Here is a 22856-nt window from a genome sequence, read left to right on the forward strand (position 1 = left end):
AGTGCCAGCTGCCTGGGATCTTCAGCCTGAGGATCATCCTCCCTAGGAATGGGAAGGGCAGAAGAGGGTGGAGGTGGATCTCACTCTCTGACGCTGGGGGCAGGGTGCTGGGAGGACAGCCCCCCGTAGGGGAAGTAGAGGCCCATTGGCCACTGACTGTATCATCATAGGCCTGTGGTTCCCCTCACCCGCATCTGAAAGCTGGACCTGTAGCTGAGCATGACACATGGGCAACAGGACAGACCCCGAATAGAGAAAGGGAGGCCCCTGGGCTGGTCAGGTGCATCCAGGAACCTCCCCATCCTAGAGAGGCTGGGAGGAAAAACTCTTGCATCTCCATAAAGGGGACTGGGGTCTGGGGTTGAAGCATGCACTTAGGCAGGCTAGGGCTTGGAAATCCACCACCACCAGAGAGGGCAAGGGAAAGAGTGGAGGCCAGGAGAGCTGCTGCCCAGTTCTGACAAGTCCATTAAATTTTAAAGTGCCCTGCCCTCAGGCATGCTGGGAAGGGGTGGGGACGTGGCCGACTCTGCTTCTCTCAGCTGTTTGTTGTTCTGCTGCCACTGCTCTGCCGGGGAAGGAGGAGGAGAGCAGATGAGTGAGCTGCCCTCTCTGGAGAGGGGACAGGGCAGGGCCTCGGCAAGCTCCACTGGTGATCTCGCGTAGGTCTCCTTCATCCAGACGCACAGCTGGAGGATCGTGGGAGCAGGAAGGGGACAGGTGGCCCATCTGGTGACACTGCTCCTCTCAGCCTGAATGGGCTCCTGGCCCCTTGGACCCTCGCAGAGCTCTTGCCCAGAACGTTGCCCACTCCTTCCTCCTCCTGTCAGCTCCGGGGCTTGCAGAGGGGGCAGCCTGGCTGAGGAGAGCTGCGGGTGCTGGCCCTGGCCCACGGCGAGCTGGCATGCCATGCCGTCCTGACCGCCTCCCTCCTCTCCCTCAGGTCCCGTTTAATGGATTCTGACATGGATTATGAAAGGCCAAACGTAGAGACCATCAAGTGCGTTGTGGTGGGGGACAACGCCGTGGGTAAGACCAGGCTCATCTGTGCCCGCGCTTGCAATGCCACCCTCACCCAGTACCAGCTGCTGGCCACGCATGTGCCCACAGTATGGGCCATCGACCAATATCGTGTGTGCCAGGAGGTAAGGCTGCAGGACTACCTGGCTGGGGGTCCACGCCATGAGTCTGGGCTTGGGGGCTTCCTGAGGCATAGCTTGGTGTCTCCAGAGCTCACGGGAGCCCTCTAGGGGTGGGACAGGATGGGTTGGGGGCAGCTGAAGAGGAAGGAGCCCCTGGAGAGAGGTTTAAGCCAAGTCTGCCCCAGGGAAGTGTCTCTGGCTGGTTGTGTTTTCAGGGACTGAGCTGGTGCCTGGGACTCCATCTTTGTCTGGGGTACCGCATTGTATGTAGTCACAGCCTTAAGTAATGGGGAGCACTGGAGGGCTGGGGCTTGGAAGAGATACAAGCTGAGAGGAGCAAAGAAGCTGGCAGCTGATAGCAAAAGACCAGAGGCTCACAAACATGCAGTTTGCAAGGAAAGCCAGGAACAAGGGTCAGCTCCCAAAGAGGCCCCTTCCACACCCATAGCAGTCCCTTAGGGTCTCTTCCACCCCCTTAGGGTCTCTGCTACCCTCTTAGTGTCTCTTCCACCTGCTTAGGGTCTCTTCCACTCCTGGTCAGCTTGGAGGCCACCCTTGTTATAGATTCTACAGAGATTTTACGTGGATGAAAGTTGTGCAGGGTGCACAGTGGGCGATGCCAGCCTTGTCCCTCCATGCCCAGTGATGTCTGGGGCCCCCAGGTGTCAGCCGGCGCTTATCCTGAGGTGGCACGCAGAGGTCCCCAAAACTGCTGCCTTCGAGTCCCACTCTTCCTCCCCGTCCCCAGGTGCTGGAACGCTCCCGAGACGTGGTAGATGATGTCAGCGTCTCTCTGCGCCTCTGGGACACCTTTGGAGACCACCACAAAGACCGTCGCTTTGCTTATGGGAGGTAGGGAAGGCCTCTAGCCGCCTGCAGAGAACCAACAGGGTGGGTTTTTCCCTGCTTTTCCCAGGAACAAAGCACCTCTGTGAAATTTCAGCTGGCAAGAAGAAGTGGAGAAAACAGCTCTGGCAGAGCCTCATGGGGGCTGGGGCAGCCTGGTGCAGTGAAGGGAGCCTGGGTCCGGGATCAGGAAGCCTGGATTGAGTTCCAGCTCTGTGCCTAGTAGCTCTGAGATGATGTTTCTCAGCTGTGAAGTGGTGAAAACAGCCATTTCTAACTCACAAAATAGCTGTGAGGCCAAAACAAGTCTTGAGCTCTAAAGTGGCACATAAATTGGAGGTATTGTGATTATATGTTTTGTGTCAAGAGCACGTGAGCAGATACCTAAGCCAGGTGTGGGACTGTACAGGGCTGGGGTGGGGCAGATGTTCCAGGACCAGGTAAGCTACCACTTGTTTCTCTGCCCGTAACCTTACTTTCCCACCCGCAGATCTGATGTGGTGGTTCTGTGCTTCTCCATTGCCAACCCCAATTCCCTCCACCATGTCAAGACCATGTGGTACCCAGAAATCAAGCACTTCTGCCCCCGAGCACCTGTCATCTTGGTGGGCTGCCAGTTGGACCTGCGCTACGCTGACCTGGAGGCTGTCAACAGGGCTAGGCGACCCTTGGCTAGGTAGGAGGTGCTGGTACCAAGGAGACAGACATGGATGGGTGCCTCACCATGGCTCCCTGCTCAGCCCTGGGGGAATTCCACTGAGCCTCATATCTCTCCCTCCATTTGGAGCAAGCTTGCATTGGGAGTCAACAAGCATGCTCATTCATTCATTCATTCATATACCTGTTGCACACCTCTGGTGTGGGCAGTGCTATGTAAAGCATCATGAAGAAAAATAGAGAGGAAGAGGTGATATTTGCATGAAAAAGTCCTATAATTTTGCTGAGGGATAAACTAAATATGTGAGCATGTTAAATACCCATGTGAAGCATTGCCTGCTAATTGCCAGAGAGGCAGTGCTGTCACGGCTTTGTACTGGGGAGGTCACTGGGGCCTGGCATAGTAGGGAAAGCTTTCTGGAAGAAAAAGGGCTTGGAGTGGACCTTGAAGGAGCTTGATGGGATTTGGCCAGACAGAGCAGGGCAGGAGTGGGTGGGGATTGGCACCCAGATCCTGAGCAGAGTCCCTCCAGCCTGTGGAAGAACAGGCAGCCTCCCTCCACCACCAACACAAGCTTGGTTTCCTTCTTGAACCTACCAGGCCCATCAAACCTAATGAAATCCTGCCCCCAGAGAAGGGTCGGGAGGTGGCCAAGGAGCTGGGCATCCCCTACTATGAGACCAGCGTGGTGGCCCAGTTCGGCATCAAGGACGTCTTTGACAACGCCATCCGAGCTGCACTCATCTCCCGCCGCCACCTGCAGTTCTGGAAGTCCCACCTCCGCAATGTGCAGCGGCCTCTGCTGCAGGCACCCTTCCTACCCCCCAAGCCACCGCCCCCGATCATCGTGGTGCCCGACCCTCCCTCCAGCAGCGAGGAGTGCCCCGCCCACCTCCTGGAGGACCCGCTCTGCGCGGACGTCATCCTGGTGCTGCAGGAGCGGGTGCGCATCTTTGCCCACAAGATCTACCTCTCCACCTCTTCCTCCAAGTTCTATGACCTGTTCCTCATGGACCTGAGTGAGGGGGAGCTGGGGGGCCCCTCGGAGCCAGGGGGCACCCACCCAGAGGACCACCAGGGCCACTCTGATCAACACCACCACCATCACCACCACCACCATGGGCGAGACTTCCTGCTCCGAGCAGCCAGCTTTGACGTGTGCGAGAGCGTGGATGAGGCTGGGGGCTCCGGTCCTGCTGGCCTCCGTGCTTCCACCAGCGACGGGATCTTACGGGGCAACGGAACAGGGTACCTACCGGGCAGGGGTCGTGTGCTGTCTTCCTGGAGCCGAGCTTTTGTGAGCATCCAGGAAGAGATGGCAGAAGATCCTCTCACCTACAAATCCCGGCTGATGGTGGTGGTGAAGATGGACAGTTCCATCCAGCCGGGGCCCTTCCGGGCTGTCCTCAAGTACCTGTACACGGGGGAGCTAGATGAGAACGAGCGTGACCTCATGCACATTGCCCACATTGCTGAGCTGCTCGAGGTCTTTGATCTGCGCATGATGGTGGCCAACATTCTCAACAATGAGGCCTTCATGAACCAGGAGATCACCAAGGCCTTCCACGTCCGCCGGACCAACCGGGTTAAGGAGTGCTTGGCAAAAGGCACCTTCTCAGGTATGGAACAGGCTTGGAAAGCAAGGGGGTTCTGCATTGGTGCTATTAGCATTGCCTGTCTGTCTCAGCTCCTGGTGTCCTGGAGCTGCGGCTGCCATGCTCTTGAAGCCTGGTTTTCCCCAGCTGGGAGCGGGTTTGTTCCGTGCCCCGAATCTTCTGGGTTCAGGAGGAGGCTCCGTGGCTCCCCTTGGGGCTTGTTCTCCCAGCTTCTTTCACCAGTCCTCCTGTGATGCTTCTTCTGGACAGATGTGACCTTCATCCTGGATGATGGCACCATCAGCGCCCACAAGCCCCTGTTGATTTCCAGCTGTGACTGGATGGCTGCCATGTTTGGGGGGCCATTTGTGGAGAGCTCCACCCGGGAGGTAAGGCTGAGGACACAAAGGGGGGAAGGAGGGAGTGAGACATTTGCACCCTTTACATCTGAGGCACTGCCACTCAGGGTACTTTCTTCACTGACTGTGTGCTAACCACAGGGTGATGGGCCCAAGAGAGGTTTATGAGGTGGTTCTTGGAGCTAAGGATTATACAATACACCAGGAAAGGGAATTACACTGACACCTCAACTTGAGAGTTTAGAAAGCACTTTCTGTTCATTATCTCATTAAATTCACACGCAACGTACACATGTGCCACTCCTGCCGTATATCTAGGAAAGGGAGCCCCTGAGAAGTTAAGTGACTTGTATGAAGTTGGAAGTAGAGTTAGGACTTGAACTCAGGACTTCCATTCCTTGGCTCTTTACTTTGTACCTTACTGCCTCCCTGACACACTTGAAACAACTGAATGCATCACTGTTTTAAAAGATAGGTTTTATTATTATTGAGGTGTAGAGAGGCCCACAGATTGCAAGATGGCTGTCATTGATAAGACAACTTGTTACAGATCCCAAGAAAAGGGGGCATGCCACAGCACCATGGCTGGGGTCACATGGGGAAGCTCTGGGGTCAATCAGGAGGCAGAGGGTTTCTGTGGGAGGGAATGGGCGAGGCAGGTTGAGCAGGTTTAGGATTAGCTGTTTGAATAATGTTAGCCGGCTCTGGGGCCTGGATGCTGTCTCTAGTTGTCTGTCACCTGGCTCTAGGGGGATTAGGGCAGGGGAACAGTGGCCTGGAGTGTGAGGGCCCATAGGGGAGGTAGTGGGCTGTGGGCTCTGGATTGGTTGGTTTGCATATGAAAGGCACACTTGCAGGCAACTCCTTCACTATCCCTAGGACTTGGCCAGCCCTGAGGGAGGCAGTCCCTATAGGGCCAGCAAGGCTTTAGTTGTCAAAGCAACAAAATACAGAAAATAGGTGTAGGGGGTGGCTTACACCTGTAATCCCAGCACTTTGAGGGGCTGAGGTGGGAGGATTGCCTGAGCCCAGGAGTTTGAGACCTGCCTGGGAAACACAGACACCATCTCTACAGAAAAAAAGAAAAAAAGAGAGAGAGAGAGAAAAGAAGGAAGGGAGGGAGGGAGGGAGGAAGGGAAGGAAAAGCATACTTAATAGAACCACCTGCCTCTCTAATCAGTGACCCTCTAGCTCTCACGATGCCACCACTTTCTCACTCACCTAGATTGGAAACTTAGGGTTGGAAGAAGCCTATCAATGTGTCCTTAGAAATATTCTCTTAGGTTTGGTCTCTTTTCCATTCCAAGCAGAGTAGCCTGGGCAGTAGCCCTTGGTGTGCTCTGAACTCCTGGACCTCAATTGCCCATCACTGAGTGTCGTCGAACCTTGTAGTTAACGAGGTTCGACTTTGTGCAGGCGCGTGGAGTTCTGAACGTCCACACCGTTTCCCCTACTGTTCTGTAACTGCTTCTGAGCGCAGGGACTGGGTCTTTTTCCTTCTGCCAAAAACCCTCTCAGCGCCAGTCTCTTGGGAAATGCTCACCAAATGCTTGAATGAAAAACAGAACCAAGCACGAGGCTGGGCTGCATCGCATCCCGTGATGTGGAATGTGCATTTTCTAAGATTTCTGGGAAGGAAGTACTTAAGGAAGGCTAAGTGGAAGCGTTGGGAGTTGGTCTCTGAAGTGGGAGTAGGATTTGGATATACAAAATGTGAGACTAGGAGCTCTCACAAGCCCCAGGGGCCTGCCAGCCCCGGGCACTTCTCGGTACTGTAGACGCCAGCTTTAAACTTCTAGCCAGTTCCCAGCACAGCCTGGAGAGCCTGATGAGAAGGCAGTTTGTGTTGCAGCGCTGCTCTCAAGAGATCCTGGAGGCCCAAAGCAGCAGCTCTGAGCAGACAGAAAGAAATCAGCTGCTGTGGGCCTTACTTATTCTGTATCCCACTTCTGTTCTGTGCAGGGATGGGAGGGACTGAGGTGTAGATTGAGGTGACCAGAAGGCCTCCTTCAAGCATCCCGCGAGCAAGAGCGGCTTCCAAAGGGTGCCAGTGAGTAGTATCTGGGTCCCTTTGGAAGAGTTTAGAAGCTGGACGCCATGGCTTGTGCCTATAGTCCCAGCTACTGAGGAGGCTGAGGCAGGAGGAATGCTTAAGACCAGGAGTTCAAGACCATCCTGGATGGCATAACAAGACGCTGTTTCTAAAAATAAACACATAAATGATAGTAGAGGCCTGTACTCTGGTGCTGTCAGCAAACTGGGGCTCAGCACAGGTTGTCGCTCTAGGGGTCAGGTGTTCTCAGGGTCTTCTCAGCAGATACACATGCAGCACAGGGAAGGCTGCCCGTCTGGGGGAGCCTGGGTGTGAGGGCCAGAGCTCTTCAATTTCTCAGGGTTCAGTTCATCTTCTCCTAAGCAGGATCTCATTGCTGTCCGCTCACTCCTTCCCTCCCCAGGTGGTGTTTCCCTACACAAGCAAGAGCTGCATGCGGGCCGTGCTGGAATACCTCTACACCGGCATGTTCACCTCCAGCCCCGACCTGGATGACATGAAGCTCATCATTCTAGCCAACCGCCTCTGCCTGCCACACCTGGTTGCCCTCACAGGTAACTAAGCAGTGCACTCGGGGACCTCCCCGCGGCAGAGGCCAGGGAAACCCCAAGGTGCAATGTTCTCCTCTCACGTCTCTCCTGGGGGACAAGCTGATGTCCAAGGGACTAAGCGTACATGAAATGGAATCTGTTGACGGGCACAGAGTTCTGGATGAGGACACAGAGTGAAGAAGGGTGGTGCGGGGCATGTTTGATGGGGTCACCTGAGAGGCTCTCTCCAAAGGCGATTTAAACCCAACAAAATGGAACATGAGGCTGGGCACAGAGGCTCACACCTATAATCCCAGCACTTTGGGAGGCCAAGGCGGGAGGATCACTTGAGGCCAGGAGTTTAAGACCAGCCTAGCCAACATGGTCTTACCCGTCATGGCAAACTGCCATGAAACCCGTCTCTACTAAAAATATAAAAATTAGCTGTGTTTGGTGGCAGGCGCCTGTAATCCCAGCTACTCGGGAGGCTGAGGCAAGAGAATTGCTTGAACCCGGGAGGTGGAGTTTGCAGTGAGCTGAGTTTGCACCACTGCACTCCAGCCTGGGTGACAGAGTGAAACTGTGTCTCAAAAACAAACAAACAAAAAATGGAACATGACAGTGCTTTATGTTCTTTGCTTGGCTTCACTTGGACAAGCTTAAGAAGTCAAAAAATAATAGAACACAATTCCCACATTTCTACCCTGTGGTTCTCCTCCTTCTTCCTTTCCTTTTATTTTTCTTCTTTTGCCTTTTTTCTTCTTCCCCTACCTTTGACATCACCTTCTCATCCTCTTTCCAGAAACAGCACACAAACATCCCTGCCACTCCTTAGTCCCTGCACGGATTGTACGAGCCGGAGCTCAGCTTTTAGTGTGGACAAATCCCAGGGGCTCTCTGAGTTGGAACAAGAACTGAGTCATGGGGGAGAGCCAGCGGCAGGCAGTCTGGGTCCAAGGGGCCAGGGAAGAGAAGTGGTGCTCGTGGGGTGAAGGGAGCCTGGGGCCAGAGACCCAGGCAGGCAGACGGCTCTCGTTCATGTTGGAGTTGGCACTTGAGTTGCTAGTGGTGGCGGCAGGGGTACCAGCGCTGGTGTTGATGCCGAGGTTAATATTCTTGCATAGGTCGGGGACAGAGAGCACATCCTCACATACTGAGTTGAGATTCAGGGAAGAACCCAGTGTCAGAGCTGCTGGGGTCCAGGCAGATGATCAAGATCGGGGCTCAGATATGAGGGAAAACAGCAATCCGTGAGGAAAAATGAATGATAAGGTGGGGCTGGGTTACAGAAAGAAGGCAGAAATCATTGATCAGAACCAGAATATTAAGAGCGGAGGCTGCAGTGGGAGTCCAGGGTCCCCAGAAGGGGATAAAGGGAACTTTGGGGCAGGTAGCAAGAGAGGCATCTAAAGATCCCAGCTACAACAGTATATCTTGTTTTGCTGTCCATAAAAAAATGGTGTGATCTTCCCAGAGCACATAAAACTTCAAATTCCTAGATGGAATAATTCCACTTTTAAAAGACTATCTCCAGAGAAATGACCCAAAGGGGAAAAATGCATAAAGGTATTTCTAGAAGTTCATTTCGTCATGGCAGGCAATTGAAAGCAAGTCACAGAAAAACCGTTGGTGAAGCACACACAGGCAGTTTTCACATGGTAGTCATTAAAAATGTTAAACTAGACTGCTGCATGGAAAGGCTTATTGAAAATAATGTTAAGTAACTTTTCATGAAATTATCGATACACACTAGGGAACATCCACAAAAATGTTTATATCTGCCTTGTTAAGGATCAGGGGAAGATGCCAAGTTTTATATAATTGGCGATGGTTTAAGTTTTGTGACATATGCTTCCTATGAGGCCATTAATTCAAGTTGAAAACTTTTATTGCTCAGTAGAACACAAATACATAAAAGCATATTAAACATATGTTCAGGTTACTGAATTACTATTGTTATTATGTTTTTTTAGAGACAGGATCTTGCTCTGTCACGCAGACTGGAGTGCAATGGCCTGATCATAGTTCACTGCAGCCTCAAATTCCTGGGCTCAAGCGATCCTCCCAACTCAGCTTCCCAAGTACCTTGGACTATGGGCCTGCCTCATCACACCCAGCTAATTTTTAAATTTATTTTTATTTATTTATTTATTTATTGACATAGAGTCTCACTTGGTCTCTCAGGCTGGAGTGCAGTGGTGCAATCCTGGCTCACTGCACCCTCTGCCTCCTGGGTTCAAGCGATTCTCCTGCCTGAGCCTCCTGAGTAGCTGGGACTACAGGCATACACCACCACACCCAGCTAATTTTTGTAATTTGAGATGGGGTTTTGCCATGTTGGCCAGGCTGGTCTTGAACTCCTGACCTCAAGTGATCCACCCACCTTGGCCTCCCAAAGTGCTGGGATTACAGGCGTGAGCCACCACACCCGGCCTAATTTTTAAATTTTTTGCAGAGATGAGGTCTCACTGTGTTGCCTGGACTGGTCTTAAACTCCAGCCTCAAGTGATCCTCCCATCTCGGCTTCCCAAAGTGCTGTGATTACAGGCGTGGGCCACCAAGCCTGGCCTAGTTTAATGAATTATTATAAAGAAAATGCCTTTCTACTCATGACCTATGTCAGGAACTAGAACCTTGCTGGCCACCAGAAGTCCTCCACCTCTCCCTCCTCTCTCACAGACCCCTCTCTCCTCCCTAAGAGGAAGCCCTTTGCCTAGTATTCCTTTTTTTATGGCACTTTTTATGGGCATACTGCCTTACTTTCCTTTATAGTTTTATCATCCAAGTGTGTGTCATTAAACACTACAGCATGGTTTTTTGCATTATTTTTTACTTTTATTTTTTATTTTTGGAGATGGAGTCTTACTGTCACCTGGGCTGGAGTATAGTGATGTGATCTCGGCTCACTGAAACTTTCACCTCCCAGGTTCAGGAGATTCTCATGCCTCAGTCGCCCGAGTAGCTGGGATTACAGGCACGTACCAACACACCCGGCTAATTTTTGTATTTTTAGTAGAGACAGGGTTTCACCATGTTGGCCAGGCTGGTCTTGAACTCCTGGCCTCAAGTGATCCACCCGCCTTGGCCTCCCAAAGTGCTGGGAGTATAGGCGTGAGCCACCGTGCCCGGCCAGTTGTTTGTTTTTGAAGTATTATTATGGCCCCTTAGATTTGAACATTCTTGATTGGTTTCAGTTAATTGCAGTTATCCTTGCTGAAGCTCAAATCCTGCACTCTTTGGCTTGACTCCAGAGTCTTACGAGCTTCCTCTCTATCTGGAATGATGAGATGTTCTAGGTTCCTCTTGAAGGTTCTGTGCCCCAGACCTGGAATCAGCCATTTCTCCAGGAAGTCCTAGTTTCTTGTGTTGGAAGTGGAACTGGTATTTGTGTGCACTAGGAATGCTCATTGTACTGGGATGACTGTTGTTTCTAGGTCTTTTCTGGGGGCAGAGCTGGGAAATATATTGATCTTTTTAAAGATAAGATACCTCATGAGTTTATACTGATACTTCTAATTAAAATTCAGAACCAAGGGTGTTTACTTCTTCAATATAAGTGTTTTAACTTAAAATACAAGGTTAGTACACAATTTTTTACAAAATTTAAATTAAAACAAACAACTAGACTTAACTCCTAGTTCTAACTCACAGTTCTCAGCCTTTTTCTGTGATCAGCAGACATGAGGTTTCACACACTCTCCCTTTTGTATCAGAGGCTGGTTCTGTTGGGAACTTTGACCCTACCTGTATCAGATTATGTCACGGGACATACGTAGTTTGAAAAATCCTCTTAGGTAATTCCAATGTCCTCCTTCTCTTCCTACCCTACCCCGTTGAGCTCTTGCTGTCATCCCTGGGGTCCCCCTGGTGGCAGCAGACGTCATAGCCTGGGGCCTTTCCTGGCCTGTCCGGACCTGCCCGGGCCCTGGTTTTCCTCACCCTGAAGTGAGCTGGGGGATGTGGTGGGGCAGGGTGAGCACAGGTCATGTGCTTCTTCAGCTGATTGGTGGCCGTGTGTGTTACAGAGCAGTACACAGTGACCGGGCTGATGGAAGCGACCCAGATGATGGTGGACATCGATGGGGACGTCCTTGTGTTCCTGGAACTGGCTCAGGTATCATGGCAGGGGAGGGAATCTACAACAGTCTCAGTTCTACACTCTGCCTGCCCATTGGCTGCGAATGGGAAGGGGTGGAAGATGGTCTATGCGGGAGAACCTGTCATCGGACTGGGCTCTTTGACTGCGCGTAGCCCATCTCCTCCTCCATGCCAGGAAGCAGCTGGGGAACTCCCTGGTGTACCCGGAGGGGAGCTGACCAAGTGGGGAAGGGATGAGGCTTTAGGCAGCAGTAGGGCTGGGGAGGGAACCCCAGGCTCAGGCTTACACATGGTTGCTGCCTGCCTGAGGTCATTTAAGGGGCACTGAGGACTTTCCATCTGAAATTAACCGCCTACTCCCTTAATCCCAAACAAACAAGCCAAATCTCCCACAGTGGCCTTCACAGTGCCAGAAATTCAGCCACCAAAGATTAGTGTGTGGAGTGGAAGCACGGCTCAGGCAGGGCTTGCAGACACCCCTGGGAAGGCAGCTCCCTTAGCTCATTGTCAGTGCCTCCGTGCAGGCTGCCTTGATCCCAGATGTGGAGGAGAGAGAAGTCAGGTAGGTTGAGATCTGAGGAGGGCAGATGCAGTATGAAGCCACTACATAGGGCTCTGGTGTCTGCAGCGAGGATGCCAGGAGTGGGCAGAACAGAGGTGAGATGATGGTGGTGCTGGCGGTGGTGCCAAGGAGCCTGAGGCAGCATCATCATCCTCAGTTTTGTGTGGCCTTGCCTCTGGCGCAGGCTCTCTAGAACTGCAGGGCCTCTGCGTGCCCTGCACCAGAGCTTCAGCTCTGAAGGCAGCTGGAGGTGTCTATGCAGACCCTCTCCCCTGGGGATTTCAGTACAGACGTTCTTCCCTTCTGTCCCCAGTTCCACTGTGCGTACCAGCTGGCCGACTGGTGTCTCCACCACATCTGCACCAACTACAACAACGTGTGCCGCAAGTTCCCCCGAGACATGAAGGCCATGTCCCCAGGTGAGCATCGGGGCCAGTCCTGGCAGTACCTGCTGCCCTCCCCTTAGGGGTGCACAGCTCCCATGTAATCCCAGGGACCCCGAGGCTGCCAGTAATCCTTGACCTTGGGGCTGGGAGCAGCCTGCAAAGGAGCCTCCAGCCAAGCCAAGGGGCCCCAGGAAAAGTGCTGGCCTGGAGGGCAACTCACCCTGCCTCTCTGGGCTTCTCATTCTCAGAGGTATGAAGAGGATACTGGACTAAAGTTGGTAGATTTCAGACTTTTCTGGACAGAATACCGTAAGAAATACATTTCATCTTGTGACCCAGGACACATATAGGAAAATATATACATCTTTCTAATGCTGCTCATGGCCCACTAAATTGATGGTACAACCCAGGAATGGGTACAGGCCACAGCTTGGACCACCCAGGTCTGGGCATCCTCTGAGGCCTCCTGTCTCTTCTTGATTAATTTCTTAGGCCCTAGAACTCAACAGAAACTGCACAGGCTCCAGGGAGAGGTGTCCCTGGCCTCCCTGAAGGGTCTGCCACTCTTTCCATGGGGTCCTCTCTGGGCTCCCTCCAGTCTGCCGTGACCCTCCTCCCTGCTGCCGTGTTTTTGCCTCATGCTGCCAAGTCTCCACCCCGATCTCTCCTTTTCACTACTACAACACTTTTAAAAAAAAATTATTTATTTATTTATTTTTTTGAGACAGTCTTGCTCTGTTGCCCAGGCTGGAGTACAGTGGCACAATCTCGGCTCACTGCAACCTCCACCTCCTGGGTTCAAGTGATTCTCATGCCTCAGCCTCCCGGGTAGCTGGGATTACAGGTACCCACCACCATGCCTGGCTAATTTTTTGTATTTTAGTAGAGACGGGGTTTCACCACGTTGCCCAGGCTGGTCTCAAACTCCTGACCTCAGGCAATTTGCCTGCCTCGGCCTCCCAAAGTGCTAGGATTATAGGCATGAGCCACTGCACCCAGGCTAGCATTTTCTTTCTAAAGCACAGGTCCAATAGCATCACTCCCTGCTTCCAGACCTTCCACTGAAACAGTAGTCTTCCATGGCCCCCCATACCCTGCAGAATAAGGCCAGCCGTTCCTCTGGTCTGCTGCTGTGTCCTGCTGTGTCCTGACTCCGTATTCCCCCTCGGAACCTTAGCTCTGGCCAGAAACTTCCACTCTCATCCCCTAACCATGCTGAGTATCTCCTGGCTGACATTCGCTTACCCCTTCTCCCTTATCCTTCGCCTCTGTTTCATTCCCAACGCACAGGAAGCCCTTGTCTAGATCGCCCGTCTTTGGAAAGGAACCCAGCTGGAAAGGCCTTCCCCAGTGCTGACTTTCAGCCCTGCTCTTTGGGAACTTTGCTTGCCTCGGAGGCTCATGTGCCGTGGGTCATGGGGATGTGCTGGGGGCTGGGCTGGAGGCCTGCTGCAGGCCTTGTGGTGGGGTAGGGCTGGTGTCCCACGTTCCTCTTGTCCCTCTGCCTCCTTTCTAACCAAGCTGCCTGCTCTCTGCTCCAGAAAACCAGGAGTATTTCGAGAAGCATCGGTGGCCACCTGTGTGGTACCTGAAGGAGGAAGATCATTACCAGCGGGCACGGAAGGAGCGTGAGAAGGAGGACTACCTCCACCTCAAGCGGCAGCCCAAACGGCGTTGGCTCTTCTGGAACAGTCCATCCTCCCCGTCTTCCTCGGCAGCCTCCTCCTCATCCCCATCTTCCTCCTCGGCTGTGGTCTGAGATGCTGCCACCCTCTTCTGACCCTGCTGCTGTTGTCCCCATCCGCCTTCACCCCTCTGCTCTTCCGCATCACCCCATCCACCTTACAGGGACCAGGGGGCCCACGTAACCAGGACCCAGAGGGTGGAGCTCTTCTTACCAGCCACCGTGGCTCAGCCAGAGAGGAGCTGAGCCCTGTGGAGCAGAACGGGAACCACCTGCAGAGGTCCCCAGACCCAAAGCAGGACGGGAGACAACTGCTTGGAGGAGCGAAGAGCCCTGGCATTTTATCTCTGGGTTTGAGAGCCCTAGAGTCAAAGGGAAAGCCTCCCAGCCTCCAGGGCTTCTCTGTGTGTCTTGGTTGCTGCTCTGGCCAGGGAGGCAGCCCCACTCCCAGCAAGCAGAAGTGATCCTCGAGGGTCCTGCCCCTGTTGGCCATATCTTTCCACCGACGGACTTGAGTGTTGCATTTGTTTTGTGGGCATTTCCACACGAAGCCTACTCACACCCTCACTGGAGAAGTCAGGGTAGAAATTGAGCCTTCAGAGCCCAACTCAAGGCTTCTACATCCTGGGGTGCAGCTGCAAAAGGCCAGACGTGGAAAGGCCTGTATCCTGCCAGTGTCCCTCCGTCCCAGGGGGCTGTGCTAGCACAGACCTGAGAATGGGGACACAGGTCATTCAGAGCTCCAGGCCTGGAAGCAGTGCCTCTTGGTGCAACAAGAAACTTCTCCCTCACCCCCTCCTTTACCCTCAGATTTGGAGATGGTAACCAAAGGAAGCAGCTGGGACAGGTGGAGAAGGAAGTAGGAATGAGTGCACGGCGACCCCGTGCTCCTCAGGGCCCTCCCCTGCCTCTGGGTGGCACTGCTTTTTATAGGGTGGGGCAAAATTAGCAAAAAACAAAAACCAATGACAACCAAACTGAAACCGAAACGAAAAATCAACAAACACTCTGTCCTCTATCCCTCCAAAGAATGAAAATCAGAAAAAGCCCCTGCCTAGCTCACATTTCTATAAACAGAGGCCCCCATGATGAGGAGGTGAAGATTTAGGTTGCAGAATCGACTCCAATGCCTTTCAGGAAAGGACTCGGCACTTCTCTGACTGCGGAGGCCCTGACCCTGCCAGCTGGCTCCGAGGGCAACACAGGGGCCTGGCCTCTAGAGGGCTGGTGATTGAGGGGCCCGGGCTGGCGGCAAAGAGGGGTTTGGTCTCGGGGCTTAAATGGCACCAGACTCTTGCTTTTGCCCATCTGGAGACTGCAGGCTCCCTTCCTTACCCTCAGAGAGTGCTTATGGTGGGTGTTTTTGCGGGGCTGCAATAGGGGCCAAAAGTCAGGGAAAGGGGCACTGACCTGTAGTGAAAGGCCACAGGACACAGCCTTATTACTGCTGGGGTGGGATAAGGGGAAGGAGAAGAGGGAGAATGGAGCAGGAGGAAAAGCAGAGTTGGTCTAGAGAGGAGGAGGGCGGGGCTGGAGGAATGTGGGGGATTGAAACTAGCTCCCAGCCCCCATGGGGCAGCAGCTGGGCCACAATTGCCCCTTTCCGTTTTCTAACCCCGACTCAGATTTCACCACCCACACTCTTTTTAGGTGTAAAAGATGGAGTCCCACGGAGGAGGGGCAGAGCCAGGAGGCAGTGGGGCTGTGGGCTCAGAGCTCAGGAGTCGCCTTACCTGAGAGAGATGTTCTAGCTGAGAGGGCCTGGCCCTGGGGTGGGCTCCAGGAAAACGCTGGTTAGGCCTGGGATTGAGCTAACCTGAAACAAAGGTAGCAGGCAGGACCTAATGACCAGAGGTTAAATCCTCATCAAGAGAGACCAGGCGGCTGGAGGACAAGCGGCTCTAACCCTGGGGGCGGCCATGTTGTCCAGGCCCAGGCCCCTCCAGGACTGTGGCTGCCTCCCCTCCACGGCCTCCAGGGCGGCTGGCTGGAAAGCCACGCGTATGCTGCCCTCTACAGGCTGCTCGGCCTCCCTGCAGCTCAGCGCAGCCCAGGGCTCCAAGTGAGGCCCAGAAGCCCATGGGCAGGGCTGGGGGGACGAAGGGGGAACCCGGAGCACCTCCACTTCTAGGGAAGATGGACAGCGTGGGGGCACACCTGGGCCTCCCGGAAGCTGTGGACGAAAGGGAGAGCGGGTCCTCCAGGGCAAGGGGAACGGGAAATAGGTCTCCTAGGTGCCTGAAGCGCTGAGCAACCTGGGTACCCTGGTGGGGATGCAGGGAAGGCCGGGGCAGAGAAAGTGAAGGTCGACCCAGGGCTGTAGGAAGCCATAGGAGAGTGACCACGGGATTCCCTGAGAAACAGGGCCGGCCCCCCAACTTCAGGGACCCACCGCCCATTCCCCGAGAGCTGTCGGAACCAGATGCAACCCGGCAGCCCAGAGAACTCTCCTGGGAGGCTGTGGGTGAGCCAGGCCAACATTGGTGTCCCTGTCCCCAGAGGGAGGAGCAGGCAGGAGAGAGAGGGGAAGGAGGTATGAATCCCAGTCCCCAGGAACCTAGCTCTTTAAACTCTGGGGAGTCGGATTCAGGAAACACCCCCAGGAGGCCAAGCCTGAAAACAGAGGGGAGGGAGGAAGGAAGGAGTCCCAGCAGGAGCACAGCCCTGGTTTCCTGTCACTCAGAGCTGATTCACAGGAGGAGGGGAGGTTGGGGGGCGGGAGACAAAAACCACACCTCTTTTTATATAAGGTTTCATATTTAATTTGGTCATGGATTCATAAATACATAAGTATTTTGTACACAATGTGCTTCCTTGTTTGTATTATAACACATTTCAAATAGGGACCTTTGACAGGGCAGAAGCATGAAAGGACACCAACCACGAGTGACACACTATACTATGGCTGTCCTGTGTCACATGCTATTTGGCCTGGGGATATAGCAAAGCCTAATGTAACTAAACAACAAAACCCCCAATTATTTCATGTCGTCAGGAAGCTTACTTTAAAAGAATAGCTTGGCCTGGCTGGTGGCTCACGCCTGTAATCCCAGCACTTTCGGAGGCCAAGGTGGATCACCTGAGGTCAGGAGTTCGAGACCAGCCTGACCAACATGGTGAAACCCCGTCTCTACTAAAAATACAAAAATTAGCCAGGCGTGGTGGCGGGTGCCTGCAATCCCAGCTACTCCGGAGGCTGAGGCACGAGAATCGCTTGAACCCAGGAGGCGGAGGTTGCACTGAGCCAAGATCGTACCGTTGCACTCCAGCCTGGGCGAGAGAGTGAGATTCTGTCTCAAAAAAATTAAAAATAAAAGAAAAATCTTAAACACTGATAAGGCTGACACTCTAGATGCATCTTCTAGGAAGGCCTCTGTGGAAGGGACAAGGGACCTGGGACCGGACTGGCACCTTCTGAGCCCTGAGGCTGAGCGTCCTGCACAGAAGGCCCAGCAAAGGCAAAGACCAGGAGGCAGCAGCACCCTGTGCCTTCCAGAAGTGCAGGGGACAACGCGTGGGATGCCAGATGGAAGTGGGAGAGGATGGAAGTGCAAAGACCAGAAAGGTCACCCCCCACTCCTAAAACTCCACAGACACAACAGTCTGAATGTGTGATCTTCAGGCAATTCTAACTTTGTCCCACCCAAACCAGTCCCGGAACAAAACACACAATGCCTTGAGACAGAAAAGACCAAAAACTCCTGGAATGACTACCTGCATAAATGATCCTTCCATGACTGAAATACTATGGAGAAGGGTTTGCTGGAAAGAGGCTGAAATGGTTACTGAGGTCTTAAAACAATAATAGAACAGGACACAAGAAGAAAACCTTAATGCGTCAGCCATTCTAGGTCCTGTTGCCACAGTGTTTAAGAATTGACATTTCTGAGATGAGTCAGATGCTTACAGAGCGGCCAAGGTCCTCAAGTAGGCAATCTGTACCCTAAAAGGCAGCTCATGGGCTCAGGGTGACAGATAACCAGAAGTGAGCCGGGCCATCTACTCCTGAGATGGCAACCATTTCACACCATTCTCAAGCACCATCTACTCTTCCCCCTTGATGCCATGGCAGACGTGGGAGACAGATTTTGTCTTCTATCTCCTGAGCCCAAACAGGGCTCAAGTTCACTTGGGATATGACATAGACCCTATTGTTATGTGTGATCTAACCCATCTGCCTCTGTCCCAGCCTGTCCATAGATGGGGGCTATGGGTGCAAATGAGACTGCCCAGGTAGGGACCAGCCACACACAGGACTTCACGTGGATCCAGTTCTCTTTGGTCCCGACTCATATGTAAACAACTACCTATAAATAATACTCATATACTTGTAAGGTTGTCCAGTTCAAAAGACTGGCCCCTGTAGAAGTTGCCAATCATTGAAGCCAAAGTACATCTGAGGGAGGGCTGGAACCCAGACAGTGACATCTTACAGGGGACTTCTTCTTCTTCCCCCATTGTATGTCTCCTCCTTTTATGTTTATCTAATCTATTCACATAACTATGTAAACAAGTACATTTACTAAAGTTTCTTCATGTTCATAAAATAATAACATACAGAATTATAAAAGTAGAAAGGTAAGGCCAAGCATGGGGGCTCACGCCTCTAATTCCACCGCTTTGGGAGTCTGAGGTGGGCAGACTGCTTGAGTCCAGGAATTCGAGACCACCCTGAGCAACATAGAGAGCCCCTATATCTAGACAAAATACAAAAAATTAGCCGGGCGTGGTGGTGCACACCTGTGGTCCCAGCTATTTGGATGGCTGAGGTGGGAGAATCGCTTGAGCCTGAGAGGTCAAGGCTATAGTGAGCCAAGATTGCACCATTGCACTCCAGCCTGGGAGACAGAGTGAACTGCCCCGCACCCCCCACCCAAAAAAGGTTCATATCATATAGTATCAAGTGAAGTCGGACAACGACTGTGTAGATGGATCTTACAATGTAGCCCAAATAAATAAATAAAGCATTTACATTAGGATAAAAAAGTGCTGTGAAAACAATGACATCCCAAACCAAATCTCAAAGTACGCACAAACGGAATGATCCAGACATTTCCATAGTGTCCTTATTATCACATTCAGCTTATAAAAATAATGCCAAGTGCAGTGAAAAGTTACAGGATGTTCCATCCACTGGGTGATGTTGGATGGGAGAGTTTCTTCCAGTACCGGTCATGTGACAATTGTGGCACTTTCCTACTGACTGGAGTCCAGTTGGGCTTTTTCCAGAAAAAAGGTAAACCAGGGAAGGTCTGACTTCCTGAAGAGAATCACACTTAGGACATGGCAGAGTCTGCATTACCTTCTAGATACATGAACTTTCCAGAGCTCAACAAGTGGTCCTCAATCTTCTGCTTGGCAAGTCTCTCTCCCAGCGTCTCCAAGGCATCCAGCAGGGTGTGGACAGAGGCATCTCGCCCGGTTTTGTTGACCCACTTTATCAGCATCGTGTACAAGGTGTCCCTGTGGCCCGCTGCCTCAGCTTTAGCCACCTTTATCTCATTGTCCATGAGGCCCAACTTCCTCATGAGCGGCTCCCAGGAGTCAAAGGGCACCAAGTCTGCAAAGTCATCGAAGCACTGTCTCAGAGCTGGTGGAGAAAGCCACAGAGACAGCCAGGTGAGTTGGGACTCAGAAAGGGCAGAGGATTCCACATCAGGCCCAGAACCCAAGGCGGGGAACCTGGAGAGCCCCGTGTGCGGGCAAACCTGCCGCTCCAGTGCCCACCCGCTTCCCATCCACAGAGAGCGCGCCCACACTGCCTGGCCTCCCCCACACGCAAGGCACTGCGGGGAGTCAAAGTCGTCAGAGAATCAGCCCTCATACAGGGCTGAGAACCCACCAGGGGAGTATGGATGGACGTTACAGAGGCAGAAAGTAAAGTGCGTGAGAGTCCGAGGGAGGGAGAGACAGTGGCTGCAGCGGGAGCTTAGAGGAGGGAGGAGGCTGCCTGGGCTGCGCTTGTCATGGGAGCAGGTCCCAGGGCGGCCACTTCTGCATCTGTGGAAAGCACAGGGCCTGGGACAGGGGACCTCTGTTTTCACCCAGCTCGGCCTCACTTCCTGGGGCTGGGGCAGAGCTAGGTGGAGGCAAACAGACTCTGAGCAAGAAGTGAACCCAAAGACCGAGCAATGCTGCCCAGATCTCGGGACGATGAGGGATTAAATGAGACGTGTGTGCAACATGATGCACCTCGCCGTCCTCAGAGATAGACAGGGTCAGGAACACGAGGCTATGTTTTCCAACAGCCTTATTTTAAAGAACATCAGAAACAAGTGACATTCATTTTAATGTATGGTACTGAATATATTTAAAATATAATTTAATATACAATCAATATACAAAAATTATGAGTGAAATATTTTCCACTCTTTTTTGCATTAAGTCTTTGGCATTCGTATGTAGTTTACACAACAGCTCTGCAAATTGGGCTGAGGCACAGGTCAAGAGCTCCTTAGCCCACTGGGGTTAGTGGTGCTGTGCAGGACAGGCCAGCCCCTCAGGAGGTCCTCAGGGGCAGGCGGGGGCTACATCAGGCCCTGAACAAAGGAGGAGAGAGGATGAGGGGACGGACAGAGTCATTAGGGTCAATGATAGGGTGCAGAGAGGATGAGGTAGAGTGGGGAGAAGAGATGGGAGAAGACAGTTTAGGGTCCAGATGGTCTATAGCACAGGACCCACGGCTTCCAGCATGGAATACTCTGGAAGAGCCCTCTGACCTCTGGGGACAGCAGTTAGGACCCTGTCCCTATTCCCTCCATTCCTGCTGCATCTCCAGGAGCAAAACACTTACTCTCAGTGGGATCACCTTCATTTGCTGGAACCAGCAGCCTCCTCCTCTGAGACCTTTCAGCTTCTGCCGGTTCCTGTAACACATAGTGGGGAATGTCCTGGTCAGAGCCAGGAGTCCTACAGTCCAGTACTGACCCCGACCACCAGCCAGCTCTGAGACCTGCAGCACGTCACTTCCAGAACATTGTTCTGAAAGGTCTGGCAACAAGACAGGAGACAAAGGGGCAAGACTCTCGGAAGGAGGCCGATACAGCAGTCAATATTTTAGATTAGGAGTGTATATTTTTAAAACCCCAAGGTTTAATTTGTAATACTCAAAAGTGAATATGTCTTGATGATTTTTTTTTTTTTCGAGACAGAGTCTCACTCCGTCTCCCAGGCTGGAGTGCAATAGTGCGATCTTGGCTCACTGCAACCTCCACCTCTGGGTTCAAGAGATTCTCCTGCCTCAGCCTCCCAAGTAGCTGGGATTACAGGTGTGCACCACCATGCCCAGCTAATTATTTTATCGTATTTTTATATTTTTAGTAGAGACAGGGTTTCACCATGTTGGCCAGGCTAGTCTCAAACTCCTTACCTCAGATGATCCATCCGCCTCGGCCTCCCAAAGTGCTGGGATTACAGGCGTGAGCCACTGCACCTAGCCCTGATGAATGTTAAACCACATAGCAGAGGCCAGGCATGGTGGCTCACACCTGTAATCCCAGCACTCTGGGAGGCTGAGGTGTGAAGACTGCTTGAGCCCAGGAGTTTGAGACCAGCCTAGGCGACATAGCGAGATCCTGTTTCTAAAAATAAAATAAAATAAAATAAAATAAGCTGGGTGTAGTGGCACAAAACTGTCGTCCGAGCTACTCAGAAGCCGGTAAGTCCGAGCTTACTTGGCCTTAGAAGGTCAAGGCTGCAGTGAGCCATGATTGTACCACTGCACTCCAGCCTGGGTGACAAGAGTGAGACCCATCTCAGAAAGAAAGAAAAGAAAAGTAGCAGCAGACATAATAAATTAGAAAATGGACTTACAAGAAGACCCAAAATGCAAAGAAACAGCTTTGATGAGGAATAGGAAAAATTTATCTGAAATAAACTCCCAAATCTCGATTGAGTCATAATAGAACACTTGACTTGAAATATTATCTTCTTTGATAATAAAATTGAATGTTGAAAGGATGTCAATCATTCCTAGAACCATGTATTAATTTAAATTAATATTTGTAAAGTCTAGTGACTATGTGGGCGGGAGGGGTACTAGAGAAAATCTTATAATTCTAAATTTTATCTAATTCTAAATTATAAGATGTGTAAAAATAATTTTGAAAACATATTTGCTGTCTAAGATATTAAAACATATTAGACAGTTTTGTTTGGTGTTGTACATGATATAATCCTTTTCATGTCAATACCACATAAATACATATGCATTTATGTACCTAGATGGTATATGCATAAAGAGTTTAGCAAAGAATCACAAGAAATTATCCACTGTAGTTACCTGAAATAAGAAGGGCCAAAAGGCTGGGAAAGAGTAAAGAAGGCTCTTGGTATGATCAAGTTTTTTCATACTCTGGTGGATGTGTGGCTATGGGTGACCTGCTTTCAAAAAATGATCAGGCCAGGCATGGTGGCTCATGCTTGTAATCCCAGCATTTTGGGAGGCCAAGGAGGGTGGATTGCCTGAGTTCAGGAGTTCGAGACCAGCCTAGGCAACATGACCAAACCTCGTCTCTACAAAAAATACAAAACTTAGCTGGGCACGGTGGCACATGCCTATAGTTCCAGCTACTCAGGAAGCTGAGGTGAGAGGATGACATGAGCCCAGGAGGCAGGGGTTGCAATGAGCCAAGATGGTGCCACTGCACTCCAGCCCAGGTGATAGAGCAAGATCCTGTCTCAAAAAAAAAAATCTTCAAAGTCATTAATAAGCATGGAGGAAGTATTGGCATTGTTCATTTGTTTCCTTTTAAAATCTCTTCTCTTTATTTAAAAAGAAAGTGGTACAGATGCAAGGAAGAAACAGAAACAGTCTAGGTGGAAGAGATCTCTGCCCATATAAACATTTGACATTTTCAAGGATAAGATCTAGTTTTTTTTTGTTTGTTTGTTTTTTTAAAAAAGAGTGAAGAGGAAGAGAGAAAAAAGTAAACATTTGACATG

At 51.7% G+C, this 22856-nt stretch overlaps 2 protein-coding genes across 12 annotated transcripts in view, besides 10 other annotated features; one reads left to right on the forward strand and one right to left on the reverse strand.

Moving 5' to 3' along the window:
- Positions 1-16718, forward strand: part of RHOBTB2 (Rho related BTB domain containing 2) — a 69387-nt gene extending 52669 nt beyond the window's left edge. For all 9 annotated transcript variants that reach the window (XM_047421609.1, XM_047421611.1, XM_047421610.1 and 6 more), the window contains 9 exons: positions 944-1145; positions 1891-1994; positions 2479-2664; positions 3247-4265; positions 4512-4630; positions 7057-7207; positions 11209-11297; positions 12157-12262; positions 13771-16718. In XM_047421609.1, coding sequence (XP_047277565.1) covers positions 944-1145; positions 1891-1994; positions 2479-2664; positions 3247-4265; positions 4512-4630; positions 7057-7207; positions 11209-11297; positions 12157-12262; positions 13771-13988 — 2194 coding nt within the window. In that variant the 3' untranslated portion in view covers positions 13989-16718. The remainder of the gene's footprint in view (positions 1-943; positions 1146-1890; positions 1995-2478; positions 2665-3246; positions 4266-4511; positions 4631-7056; positions 7208-11208; positions 11298-12156; positions 12263-13770) is intronic.
- Positions 274-799: an enhancer, noted in NCBI's record as "H3K4me1 hESC enhancer chr8:22861268-22861793 (GRCh37/hg19 assembly coordinates)". NCBI's record gives its function as "activates a minimal SCP1, AML or CMV promoter by ChIP-STARR-seq in naive H9 embryonic stem cells {active_cell/tissue: H9 hESC(naive)}" and the evidence as "EXISTENCE:reporter gene assay evidence [ECO:0000049][PMID:30033119]".
- Positions 800-1324: an enhancer, noted in NCBI's record as "H3K4me1 hESC enhancer chr8:22861794-22862318 (GRCh37/hg19 assembly coordinates)". NCBI's record gives its function as "activates a minimal SCP1, AML or CMV promoter by ChIP-STARR-seq in naive H9 embryonic stem cells {active_cell/tissue: H9 hESC(naive)}" and the evidence as "EXISTENCE:reporter gene assay evidence [ECO:0000049][PMID:30033119]".
- Positions 5192-5777: an enhancer, noted in NCBI's record as "OCT4-H3K4me1 hESC enhancer chr8:22866186-22866771 (GRCh37/hg19 assembly coordinates)". NCBI's record gives its function as "activates a minimal SCP1, AML or CMV promoter by ChIP-STARR-seq in naive H9 embryonic stem cells {active_cell/tissue: H9 hESC(naive)}" and the evidence as "EXISTENCE:reporter gene assay evidence [ECO:0000049][PMID:30033119]".
- Positions 10846-11610: an enhancer, noted in NCBI's record as "H3K27ac-H3K4me1 hESC enhancer chr8:22871840-22872604 (GRCh37/hg19 assembly coordinates)". NCBI's record gives its function as "activates a minimal SCP1, AML or CMV promoter by ChIP-STARR-seq in naive H9 embryonic stem cells {active_cell/tissue: H9 hESC(naive)}" and the evidence as "EXISTENCE:reporter gene assay evidence [ECO:0000049][PMID:30033119]".
- Positions 11112-11161: an enhancer, noted in NCBI's record as "active region_27101". NCBI's record gives its function as "activates an Ori minimal core promoter by ATAC-STARR-seq in GM12878 lymphoblastoid cells {active_cell/tissue: GM12878}" and the evidence as "EXISTENCE:reporter gene assay evidence [ECO:0000049][PMID:35858748]".
- Positions 14787-15056: an enhancer, noted in NCBI's record as "active region_27102". NCBI's record gives its function as "activates an Ori minimal core promoter by ATAC-STARR-seq in GM12878 lymphoblastoid cells {active_cell/tissue: GM12878}" and the evidence as "EXISTENCE:reporter gene assay evidence [ECO:0000049][PMID:35858748]".
- Positions 15031-15198: a silencer, noted in NCBI's record as "fragment chr8:22876025-22876192 (GRCh37/hg19 assembly coordinates)". NCBI's record gives its function as "represses an EF-1alpha promoter that drives an FKBP-Casp9 reporter gene in an ReSE screen in K562 erythroleukemia cells {active_cell/tissue: K562}" and the evidence as "EXISTENCE:reporter gene assay evidence [ECO:0000049][PMID:32094911]".
- Positions 15494-16058: an enhancer, noted in NCBI's record as "H3K27ac-H3K4me1 hESC enhancer chr8:22876488-22877052 (GRCh37/hg19 assembly coordinates)". NCBI's record gives its function as "activates a minimal SCP1, AML or CMV promoter by ChIP-STARR-seq in naive H9 embryonic stem cells {active_cell/tissue: H9 hESC(naive)}" and the evidence as "EXISTENCE:reporter gene assay evidence [ECO:0000049][PMID:30033119]".
- Positions 16059-16621: an enhancer, noted in NCBI's record as "H3K27ac-H3K4me1 hESC enhancer chr8:22877053-22877615 (GRCh37/hg19 assembly coordinates)". NCBI's record gives its function as "activates a minimal SCP1, AML or CMV promoter by ChIP-STARR-seq in naive H9 embryonic stem cells {active_cell/tissue: H9 hESC(naive)}" and the evidence as "EXISTENCE:reporter gene assay evidence [ECO:0000049][PMID:30033119]".
- Positions 16417-16576: an enhancer, noted in NCBI's record as "active region_27103". NCBI's record gives its function as "activates an Ori minimal core promoter by ATAC-STARR-seq in GM12878 lymphoblastoid cells {active_cell/tissue: GM12878}" and the evidence as "EXISTENCE:reporter gene assay evidence [ECO:0000049][PMID:35858748]".
- Positions 16652-22856, reverse strand: part of TNFRSF10B (TNF receptor superfamily member 10b) — a 48899-nt gene continuing 42694 nt past the window's right edge. For all 3 annotated transcript variants that reach the window (NR_027140.2, NM_147187.3, NM_003842.5), the window contains 2 exons: positions 20707-20779; positions 16652-19503 (listed from right to left, as the gene is read on the reverse strand). Coding sequence is in view for 2 of the 3 variants with exons in the window: in NM_147187.3 (NP_671716.2) it covers positions 19190-19503; positions 20707-20779 (387 nt within the window). In the remaining variant the exon portion in view is untranslated. The remainder of the gene's footprint in view (positions 19504-20706; positions 20780-22856) is intronic.

This window comes from Homo sapiens, chromosome 8, assembly GCF_000001405.40.
Source record: "Homo sapiens chromosome 8, GRCh38.p14 Primary Assembly".
Taxonomy (NCBI): Eukaryota; Metazoa; Chordata; class Mammalia; order Primates; family Hominidae; genus Homo; species Homo sapiens.